This window comes from Homo sapiens, chromosome 10 (genome assembly GCF_000001405.40).
Source record: "Homo sapiens chromosome 10, GRCh38.p14 Primary Assembly".
NCBI classification, from domain to species: Eukaryota; Metazoa; Chordata; class Mammalia; order Primates; family Hominidae; genus Homo; species Homo sapiens.
In genome coordinates this window covers 114,072,648-114,084,786 of record NC_000010.11, presented here as the reverse complement: position 1 = coordinate 114,084,786, position 12,139 = coordinate 114,072,648, and the positions used below count along the sequence as shown (strand labels likewise).

Here is a 12,139-nt window from a genome sequence, read left to right as displayed (position 1 = left end):
CAGCAGGAGGTGAGTGGCTGGCGAGCAAGCATTACTGCCTGAGCTCCACCTCCTGTCAGATCAGCAGCAGCATCGGATTCTCATAGGAGCCGATCCTATTGTGAACTATGCATGTAAGGGATCTAGGTTGTGTGCTCCTTATGAGAATCTAATGCCTGATGATCTGATGTGGAACAGTTTCATCCCCAAACCACCCCCCTACCCTGGTCTTTGGAAAAATTGTCTTCTATGCAACCGGTCCCTGGTGGCAAATAGTTTGGGGACGGCTGCCTTAAAACACCCTCCTGGCTGCCACAGCTCAAGGGTTGCCTGCTGAGGAACTTCAAACTGTGCTCATGTGGGCACAGAAGCATCGTGCAGGGCTGCACTGTCACCAGCCCCAGCAGCCACAGGGCAGTTTGTCACCAGCTCCCTGAGAATCAACTCCAGTGTGATGGAGGTGACCCCTTGCTCCAGAAGTCTGAAGTTAACAAAGATAAACTTAGTCAGTTAGAAGGGATTAAGCAGGAGACAGTGGAATAGCTACAACAGCCGAACAACCCACTCAAATCTTGCCCACTTTTGCAGATCCAAAGAATTCCTGCAGCTTTGAAGTCCAGAGTGAGAAATGAGAAGGACCCAGGAGACCAGATAATGCTGTAAAGTCTTCAGAAGAAAAATCTAGAAGAGTAGATTATAAAGATGGAGTTAATAAACTTTTAATCGTTTACTCTATTACCATTTAGCTTTTTTTGAAACCAGGTAAACATTTTATTATAAATATATATATAGTTATATATAATATTATATTATATAGTTATATATAATATTATATTATATATTTATATATAATATTATATTATATATTTATATATAATATTATATTATATATTTATATATAATATTATATTATATTATATTAATATTATATATATTTGTAATTATATATTTATAATTTATATATATTTATATATATATAGTTTTGAGATGGAGTCTTGCTTTGTTGCCCAGGATGGAGTGCAGTGGCGTGATCTCAACTCACTGTAACCTCCACCTCCAGGTTCAAGCAATTCTCCTTTCTCAGCCTCCTGAGTAGCTGGGACTACAGGCGCACACCACCACGCCTGGCTAATTTTTGTATTTTTAGTAGAGAGGAGGTTTCACCATATTGGTCAGACTGGTCTCAAACTCCTGACCTAAGGAGATCCACCTGCCTTGGCCTCTGAAAGTGCTGGGATTACAGGCATGAGCCACCAGGCCCGGCTTTACTTTATTATGTTTTTAAACTAGTTTAAACAGAAAAAAACTAAACAAACAACCTAGGATTGCTGGCCAGGAACAAAAGGAGTGCTAGGCTCAGAGACACGGGATGAAGTCTCTGTGTCTCACAGATGCCTGTGTGGACCAAGGTCTGATGTGAATGGCACACTAACCAGGAAATCAGAACGGGACTGGTGAGGACAGAGAGGAGGTGGGGTGGGAGAAAGCGCCCTGGCTTGGAGCCTTGAGAAGCCACGTAAGCCTTGCACTGTGGTTTTGATTTTAATGCAGATAGCCTGTCTCCTTATAAGACTCTGTGTTGTAGGTTATCACAGTTATTGTTCCCAGTGAATTCCACCTCCACAGCCTTGGTAGTCTCCTCCCATGAGGACTTGAAATTTGGCCATGTGACTTGCTTTGGCCAATGGGATGTCAGCAAGCTTGATATAAGACGCAGCTTGAAGAACGCTTGTGTTTTGGGGCTTGCCCTTTCAGAATGCTACCTCCAGGTGATGAAACATGACCAGCTGACAGCCAACACCAACCTCTAGACATGTGTGTGAGGCCATATTAGACCCCACCCCTCCACCCAGGCTCAGCTGAACTGCCAGATAGATGGCTTCGGCAGCATGAACCATCAGGCACAACCAGCAGAAGAACCACTAGGTAAGCCCAGCCCACACTGCTAACCCATTGCAATCCTGAGCAGATCTGTTGTCGTTCTAAGCCACTACATTTTGGTATGGTTCAAGAATGAAAAATAGTACAGAGTAGCTAAATCTAGATCTCACGCTGTGATTCAGGTTAGGCATTTAATCTCCCTTTGAATCCAGTTTCATCTGTAGATTGGAGATCTTGTCCAGGTAAAAATGGAAGCTGTTGATGAGTTCCTTTTCCCTCTAATTGCATCATGAAGCCAGATACGTGTTTTGCAACATTCACAGGAGAGAAGTTTACTAATTATCCACCAGTATTCTCTCCAGTGAGAAAGTTTGAGGACTTTAGGGAGGAACCTGTGTACCAGCTGAACTACTAAAAGGTTCATGTCACTGTAGCCCCCCAGCTACTGGAGTGAGCTTGGTCCTCAGGAATCATTCCAGCCGAGCAGCCCAACTCCCGAGGCAGTGCCGGTATAAGGCCCATGACAAAGCACATTTCGAGATGCCACCAATGACCTTGCACACGTTTTCTTTTCTTTCCATAGAGAGTAAAGGGGGACCATCAGCCTTAATGTATGGAACTGCATCCGCATTTCTTTGTAATTTCAGGGTATTGTGTTTGGTAACTGAAAAACTAGTTTGCCTTTTGGCCCTGGGTTTGCATTTTACAACCAATTATGTAAATAATCTGTTAATGATTATATTTGTAATGACTGATAAATGTAATTTAAAAATAAAACAAATAGACTCTGTATTCACTAGGGTCCTTTTACTCAGAGTTATTTGTTTAATGAGTCATATCTTTTTTATTTCTTCTCCACTGAGAGGCCAACCTGGCTGCAGTTTAGTTGCCAGGTTTCTCAAAAATAGGTGTCCTATTTGCACCTAAGAAATGCAGTGTATAAACAGATACGTCTTAACTTCTAAGGAAGGTTAACGTTTTCTTCTTGTCTGTCACCTTGCCCACAGCAGAAGGAGCAGCAGTCATTTCAGACATTTATTATGCGGGTGCTGCTTCTACAAATCTTTCAACAGCTACTAGTCCATCAAGGACAAAGCCCCAGGACAGATTTCTCCAGGGTACCATTGAATGGCATCCCAGATGGAGGACCTTTCCTTTGGGAGATACTAGGGCTGCCATCTGGGTACACATCCTTGAATAGCTTGAGGCTTTCTGGACACATCAGACTTTGTCATGATTGGGCATCAAAGGCATGAGCTTATAGGACCTTGATGTAAGATCCTCTCAATAACAGGCATCTCTGTTACATACAATTTTCAACTGTCTATTCAATAATCAGTCAATCAAAAAACAACTGCCATGACATACTACGAATGCTCCAGATGGTAGTAAGCTACCAAAGATACACAAAATAAAGTCTCTGGTCAAGCACATGAATGTTCTGCATATTCAAAAAAAATAAAGTTAAATCACGAAAGATGAAGGGGGAAAACTCAAACAAAATGCAAATAGAAACAAATGAACCCAGCTGTATTTCAAATGAATAATAGGCTGAATAAAGGTGCAGGAGGGAGAGAACTAATCCATGTAATTAATTTTTTTTTTTTTTTTAAGAAATTGGATCTGGCTCTGTTACCAGGGCTGGAGTGTGGTGGTGTGATCATAGCTCACTGCAGCCTTGAACTTCTGGGCTCGGGTGATCCTCCCACCTCAGCCTCCCAAGTAGCTGGGACTACAGGCATAAGCCATTGTACTCAGCTCCCCAGGTAATTTTTGAACAAAGTACTTTAACCATTAGACTCCAGTCTAGGAAAATAAAAGAAGTGCAAACCAATCTTGCACTCTTTTTAGTAGGTTTGTTCTGTGCAGTGATGTGAAGGTGGCAATGGGTGTTGCAGAATTGAGCACACGAGTAAATATGTTAATGTTTTGGAAATAAGTCCTCACCATGGAAGAAGGGATGTGCAAATTTGGAAGGGAGGAAATTAAGGAAGAACCCGGTGAGACTGGCCTGGAATCAGAGACAGCAGTGAAACTCATGCTTTCCCTCCTCACCTCTCTGAACTTTAGCTGCTATTCTTTGATTTCTTGCCTCTGTAGCTCTGCTCATCCTGTTCTAGTCACAGAGAATTTCTTTCCCATAACTTTTGTATATTAAAATCTTACCTCTTCTCCATGAGGCCTTCTATCCTCCCTCTCTCCTGATCACAGCAATCTCATTTCCTCTGAATTTCCATGGTACTGTAACTAAAACTCATTAAAAGCACATTCATGTTTATGTTAGAATAAAATTCTTTATGGAAGTCTTACCTTACCTATAATGAGCACGTTTTAATAAAAACCAGCATCTGATTCTTCCTTGTTTTTTACCAGGTTCCAATGCATTCGATAATGCCTCATTGAATGAAAGAAAGCAGAGATTAGTTGAACAAGAATAAATAAGCATTCTGAAAAAAAAATCTGAAAATATAACCACACACACCTTAAAAAGGGAAGATGTACCCTGATGATAAATTTTGGTTGAATAAGCCTACTGTAAATCCTCAGTGTGAAATGCCCTCCAGAAATGTAGTGAGTGTGCAGGATACATTAGTAGAGACACAGTACTTAGAACAAGGGAGGTGAATGAGCCACTCTCTTCAGCCTTCAGGGGACTATTGTCCTATGTTCAAATTTTTGGTATTTGGCCAACATCTTTTGGCCATAATTTTGGAGTACCGTGTGCAGCATGCAAAACCATGTCATGGGCAGAATGGGAGGACCAGGATTATTTGGACTGGAAGAGAGACTCCTGGGAAAGAGAAGGGGCTAAGAGAATGGAGGACGCACACAAATTGTCTTTAAATGTATGCAGAGGGATTTAAACATGGAAGAGGGATTTGATTTATTCTATATCCATCTGGAGTGCAGAAACAGGGTCAGTTTGGGTGAAGATGGGTGGGAAGGACATTTTTGTCTCAACACAAGGAAGTGCTGTCTGAAAAGGAAAGTTGTCTAACTTGGAATGGGCAGTTTGCGGTCAGATCTTCATTTTCACCTTCTTGGTATCAGCAAGGTGGTACAGGACAACTGTGTAAGAGGCATGGGGTCAAACTGGATGACTTCTAGATACCTTCCACTCTAATGTCCCATAAATCTATGGTGTTAAGAAGAAAAGACCCAAAAACACTTAGTGAACTAACCAGCATGTGAGTGAATGCCGGCAGCGAAGTACAGACAATGGAGTACAAAAAGTGCCAGGAAGAGGTCACTGGAGTTCTTGGGCTGGGCCTCATGGAGGAGTGGGTGGAATAGAAACAAATGAACCCAGCTGTATTTCAGGTCACAGGGCAGTAGGGCGGGGAAACTTTGGGTTGAAGCTCCAGCAGAAACCCAGGGCTAGAGGAAGGGCTGGGGAAGTTCAGTGCATAGCAGAGATGGGGAGCTGGGAGCTCAGGTAGAGAAACGATGTTCTGTAGAAATGCGGGGGTCAAACTGTGCTTTGAAAGCTTATTAGAGGAATTAAGGCAGAAAAAATAATCATGCCCTGAATTTGAAATTCTAGGCCAGGCACAGTGACTCACACCTGTAATCCCCGCACTTTGGGAGGCCGAGGCGGGCGGATCACTTGAGATCAGGAGTTCGAGACCAGCCTAGCCAACATAGTGAAACCCCTTCTCTACAAAAAATACAAAAATTAGCAGGGCGTGTGGTGAGCCCCTGTAGTCCCAGCTACTCAGGAGGCTGAGGCAGGAGAATCACTCAAACCCGGGAAGCAGAGGTTGCAGTGAGCTGAGATCGCGCCACTGCACTCCAGCCTGGGCGACAAAGCGACAAAGCAAGACTCCGTCTCAAAAAAAAAAAAAAAAAAAGAAAAGGAAAGAAAAAGAAAAAAGAAAAAAAAGAGATAAAAAAATTGAAGTTCTAGTTCTTATTTCTGTCAATTACTAGCTCAATGACAGTGAGGAAACCACTTTTTCTGGGTCTTCACTTCCCCACTTTGCAAGTAAGGAGGCTGGAGAGCATGGCTAAGTTTCCTTCTGCTCTACAAGGTGCTGACTCCATTGGCTGCCATTGTAGATTCAGGAGCAAGAGAGGGACAGAGAGGAGTATTTTAGGAAGATTAATTTAATATGCAGGGTAGATGGAAGTCAGAGGAGAGCAGAAGTAGGAAGAACAGCTGAGAGGCAATTCCAGTAACTGTTTCTCAAAATAATGTCATTCAACTTTAATATCGTTTACTCAGAGTTTATGTCAAAGTGTTAAGAAGTACGATGTTTGGTACCTCTATATGACAACTTTCTTTCTAGGTCAAATTAATTCTCTGTTTCCTTGAGTAATGAAGAAAACGCAATGCTGATACTATCACTAAAAGCACTACACCCATGACCTAAGTCTGGTGAATATTTGTTTGTCATATTCTTTCATGAGAACAGTTTACATAATGGCTCACTTAGCAGAGGATTTCTCTGTTACCATGTCCTGCAAAAAAATCAGCACCATCTGCAAAAAGATTTTGAGACATACAGAGGAATTTTCACGTGTCGATTTTTCTCAGCGCATGTGGCTTGATCATGGAGTTAACAATGCTGACCTCTTATTCCTGTCCTCTTTCAGCAGGCACTTTGTTTTGTGACGAACTTTCATCCCAAGTTGTAGAAGAGGTCTTACAATGACAGTTTGCTCTGTTTCTTAAAATAAAATGCTTTCCACAGAAAGCTGAGTGCCAGAGCTGTTCGTGGGAGGCGGTGACACCTCTCTAGGTCACTGGTTTGCGGCTGGCTACAGACTGAGAGGGAAAGAAAGTCATGGCCACCTTGTGGTGACTGGGGCTGGCAGGGGCAGGAGGTAAGATGGAAGGGGAGCAGGGGAATCTTTGATTGCCGTGAACTGGCTGCTTCAGTGAGCTAGAAACGCAAATTAGAGAACCATGAGGCTGTAGGTCAGTGTCTGGAATCCCTTCCGAGAGTGGCCTGGCGGTGATGTGATGTGACAGGTACTGCCCCATGACTAAGCAGGGAGGTGTGAGAACTGCAGCCTAAAACTCTCAGCTCCTAGAGGTGTGATCTGCGCCCATGGATAGATAAGTGCAAGGTGCTCTGAAGGAACTGGAGTGAGGGAGAGCCACCGTGGGTCGCTGGCAACACCCCTTTGACATCCCTCTGCATGGGAATTGGCCACCCCAGGGTCCCACACCTGCCTTTCTTCTTCCTTCCTTTCCTGCCTTTATTTCTACCTCATCCAATGCCTGAACAGAAAACAGATTTTGAGAGGAAGAGCATTTGGGAGAAGCAAGATTACATCTGGATGGTATTTGAGGCCTGGGAGTCGTTCTGATTGTTTCAGTTCCTTACTTGCATAAGACCTCAGACTTAGTGGGTGCAGGACATGTGAATTGTGAGTTCACACATCCTTGATTACTTCAGGCAGAATGTGCCCTCTTTTCTTTTACTGCTGAAGCCTCATCTGTGACCAGTACTGGGCTGTGAGATTTTTTTTTAAGTCTACAATGAAATAAACACAGAGACTGAGAAAGCATTGAAAACCTTGCATAACAATTTGGCATTGCTGGGACATCCAAGCACATTTTTACTGTGTTTTACCTAGGCATTAGTCTCCATGGATTAGAAATACTGAAAATGATCCTCTGCCACAGATAGTTTGAGAAGCACTGCTTGGCATCTGATATGGTTTGGCTGTGTCCCCAACCAAATCTCATCTTGAATTCCCACATGCTGTGGGAGGGACCCAGTGGGAGGTAATTGAATCATGGGGGCAGCTCTTTCCCGTGCTGTTCTCGTGATAGTGAATAAGTCTCATGAGATCTGATGGTTTTAAACAGGGGAGTTTCCCTGCACAAGCTCTCTTCTGTCCACCGCCATGTGAGACATGCCTTTTACCTTCCACCATGATGGTGAGGCCTCCCCAGCCATGTGGAACTGTACGTCCATTAAACCTCTTTCTTTTGTAAACTGCCCAGTCTCAGGTATGTCTTTATGGGAAGTGTGAAAACGAATTAATGCAGTGTCCATCATTTCATCAATGAAACATTTACCCAGGGCCTCCTGTGTGTAGACGTCTGCTCTAGGGACACGAACCTCTCAGGAGTAGCCTTTGTAAATCATTAGCTAATGGTCTAAGGATTCAGGGTGATGGTGTTTCCCTATGTCAAGACAGACTCTGGAAGGCCATAGTTGGTCTTCTTTGGTGTCTACCAAAGTCTCTGCCACAACACTGAAAACAGAGTAGATACATGGTAAGTATTTGTTGAATGAAGTTATTACTTTGCATTAGTGGCAAGTAGAATAAGACATACATTGTAAAGCAGTATTTAGCTAGAGCAAGTAGGTGGTTACTTGTCTTTCTGCCTTGCTGCTCTTTCTATACCCATTCGGGGCTCCCCAGCATGGCCTGGAAATGGCTCTATTTCTGAACTTAAGCAAAAACTGAAATCTAAAAATTACTGGAATCTATAAGGAGTGTTAGAAGGAAACCAAATTTGTCCTAGGCAAATCATGCCTTCTTGCTTACCTCATAACATTTATTTTTTGGATGTTTGGAGGCTAGGGTTTTCAAATCAATGTAGACCTTTGGTGCCAACAAATGGCACATGAACCATTTCATTATGTTGTTGGATGGCGGAGTGGCACTCAATGATCTCGGTAGAATCAAAGCACGTGAGAGTGAGAGTTCCCCGTGGCCTCAAAGATCAGCTGCCCCCTGAGACTCACTTCACAAGCAGAGGAACTGAGATGCAGAGAGGAAAAGTGAGTTGCCTTTTTGGTAGTAAATTGTAACCATTTTCAAGGATTTATGATGCAAACATAACTTACTTTGGGCCAAAATTTGATAATATAAAATCTCACCATTAAAATGAACTCTGTTGCAAAGGAAAACCCCAACCCGCAATGATGTGACATGTCTTCACATCAGAGGAGGACCAAATACCTAAGTTAGCAAGCGCATGTGTCTAAACTCGGGAGAGAGATCATGGTGGCAAGGAACAAGCTGAGGGCTATGAATCTATCAACCTGTGAGAGTCCCTGGCAGTTAAAAAGAAGGCTTAAGATCGGCCAGGCATGGTGGCTCATGCTTGCAATCCCTGCACTTTCGGAGGCCGAGGCGGGCTGATCACTTGAGACCAGGGGTTCGAGACCAGCCTGGCCAACGTGGTGAAATGCTGTCTCTACTAAAAATACAAAAATTAGCCAGTTGTGGTGGTGGGTGCCTGTAATCCCAGTTATTCAGGAAGCTGAGGCAGGAAAATCACTTGAACCCAGGAGACAGAGGTTGCAGTGAGTCGAGATTATGCTGCTGCACTCCAGCCTTGGCAACAGAGCGAGACTCTGTCTCAGGAAAAAAAATGGCCTGAGATCAATTGGAAAATTGTTTTCTAAGTCAGTTTTTATTTAGTATAAATGACTATAACATGAGGGGAGCTCCCACAGTTTTCAGGGTGGCCCACGTCTGAATCTTTCTGACAACCCTCTAGTGCAGGGCTTCTCGGTCTGGGCACTACTGACATTTTGGGATGGGTGACACGTTGTTGTTGGGGCTGTCCTGGGCATTGTAGGATGGCTAGCAGCACCCCTGGCCTCTACCCACTCAATGCCAATAGCATGCCCCCAATGGTGGCAGCTAAAAATGCCTCCAGACATTGCGAAATGTCCGGGAAGAGGAGCGGAACTGGTGCCAGTGAGAACCACTGCTGTAATGGAATGGTTAATTACAATTGTGGTGGAATTATTATTATGTGGTAGAATTACTAATAAAAACTTACCAGTTTGATGGAAAGATGCTCACCATCATGCAAACTAAAATGTAAACTAAAGCCCCACTTATTAGAATAGCTAAAAGGTATTTAAATGACCAAGTGCCAGCAAGGACGCAGAGAAACTGGAGGTCTTCTACACTGCTGGGAGAATGAATAACAGCACAGTCACTTTAGAAAACAGTTGGGCAGTTTCTTTTCTTTTTCTTTCTTTCTTTCTTTCTTTTTTTTTTTTTGAGACAAACTCTCCCTCTGTTGCCCAGGCTGGAGTGCAGTGGTGTCAATATGGCTCGCTGCAGCCTCAGCCTCCTGAGTAGCTGGGACTCCAGGCATGTGCCACCATGGCTGGCTAATTTTTAAATTTTTTGTAGAGACAACATCTTGCCATGTTTCTTGGCTGGTTTTGAACTCTTAGGCGCAAGAAATCCTGCTTCAGCTTCCCAAAGTGCAGGGATTATAGGCATGGGCAGTTTCTTATAAAACTAAACATATACTTAGATGACCCGGAAGCCACACACTTAATTCACTCCCTAAGTATGTACACGAGTGAAATGAAAACTTAGGTTCACATAAAAACCTGCATGTGGCCGGGCGTGGTGGCTCATGCCTGTAATCCCAGCACTTTGGGAGGCTGAGGCAGGCAGATCACCTGAGGTCAGGAGTTCAAGACTAGCCTGGCCAACATGGAGAAACCCTGCCTCTACTAAAAATACAAAAATTAGCCGGCCGTGGTGGCTCATGCCTGTAATCCCAGCTACTTGGGAGGCTCAGGCAGGAGAATCCCTTGAACCTGAAAGGCGGAGGTTGCAGTGAGCCAAGGTCACGCCATTGCACTCCAGGCTGAGCAACAGAGGGAGACTCTCTCTCAAAAACAAACAAACAAACAAACAGACAAACAAAAAACCTGCATGTGAATGCTTTCAGCAGCTTTATTTGTAAATGCAAAAAATGTAGAGACAAACTTAATGTCCTTCAATTTGTGTATAGATAAACACACTTCGGTACATCTGTGCAATGGAACACTACTCAGCAACAAAAAGTAATGAGCTACTGAGACATGCAACGATGTGGACGAATCTCAAATGCATTATGCTAAGTGAAGAAAGCCAGACTCAAGGGCTGTGAGCAGCAGCAGTTGCTGGTGCTTTGTGGGAAGGTGGGGCGGGGAGGAGGACGCCTGCCACCGCTGCCCCCAATCACTTCCTGCTCAACCTGACTCTTCATGTGTGGCTGCTTAATTCCTGCCTTTCTCTCCCCAGCTGCTTCTTCTTTACTAACGCATCTGCTACATTTTACACGTGTTGGTAAGTGAGAAACAAAAATGAAAAATAAATTAAAATGAAGAAATACAAAAAAAGAAAACAAGAAAGAAAGAAAAAAAAAAGAAAGCCAGACTCAAAAGTCACAGGGTGTGTGATTTCATTTATATGACATTTTGGGAAAGGCAAAATTGTAGGGACAGAAAATAGATCCATCGCTGCCCGAGCCTGGAGGTGAGGAAAAGGGTTGCCTGCAAAGGACACAGGGGAATTTTTTGCATGATGGAACTGCTCGATATTTTGATTGTGGTCATGGTTACGTGACTGTATGCATTTGTCAAAATTCGCAAGAAGGCATATGCTAAAAAGAGTGAATTTTCCTGTGTATAATACACGCATATCACTGAATGTATTAATTTTAAAACATGAAAAAAATGCATCAGTGTTACCAGGATAAGTGAGAATAAGTAAGCTAAAAGAAACAAGTTCTCAATATTTTCCAAGCTAAAAACATACTGCTCTTTGCAACTCAGGCAGAAGACAAAGGTAACTTTTGTTTCCTTGTCAAAGCCCCAGACACTGTTATTTAACATTCCCAGGTACACCAAATAGCCTGGACATTATACAGCACCTAGAGAAAGGAGGCAGTCCTTGCCCTTCGGGTAAAACACACCTGCAGTGTCAAACTCTGGCCTGTTAACTGGCCTCAGATGCACCAGTGCCCCTCTGCCTCTATGCCTTTTTTCACACAATACTCCTTGGAAGAATAGATACTCTGTCGCCCAGGCTGGAGTGCAGTGGTGCGATCTCAGCTCACTGCAGCCTCTGCCTCCTGGGTTCAAGCGATTCTCCTGACTCAGCCTCCCAAGTAGCTGGGACTACAGGTGTGCGCCACCACGCTCAGCTAATTTTTGTATTTTTAGTAGATACAGGGTTTTGTCATGTTGGCCAGGCCAACGAACTCCTGACCTCAAGTGATCCATCGGCCTTGGCCTCCCAAAGTGCTACAATGACAGGCCTTAGTCTCAAGCCTGCCATTTCCCAAAACCCATCTCACTGATGAGATCACTTTTGTCTACCCCCAGCTGCAGTCTTTTCTCCCTTCCCTGAACTCCTGCAATATTTATTGCCCACATAATTCTCCTTAAAGCTATTTTTTCATTTTATGCTGATAGATGTGTGTCTTGTGGTCACATGTCGTTAGAGACACCTTTGGGGCAGGGATTGCCCCTCGTACTTCTTCGTATTGTAGGAGTCCAGGTGCTTAATA

General features: G+C 43.6%; 1 long non-coding RNA gene across 1 annotated transcript in view; it reads left to right on the top strand.

Moving 5' to 3' along the window:
- Positions 1–1,712: 1,712 nt before the first annotated feature.
- The window catches only part of LOC124902554 (uncharacterized), a 36,113-nt gene continuing 25,686 nt past the window's right edge, over positions 1,713–12,139 (top strand). The window contains exon 1 of the long non-coding RNA XR_007062383.1: positions 1,713–1,905. This is a non-coding gene — a long non-coding RNA (uncharacterized LOC124902554). The remainder of the gene's footprint in view (positions 1,906–12,139) is intronic.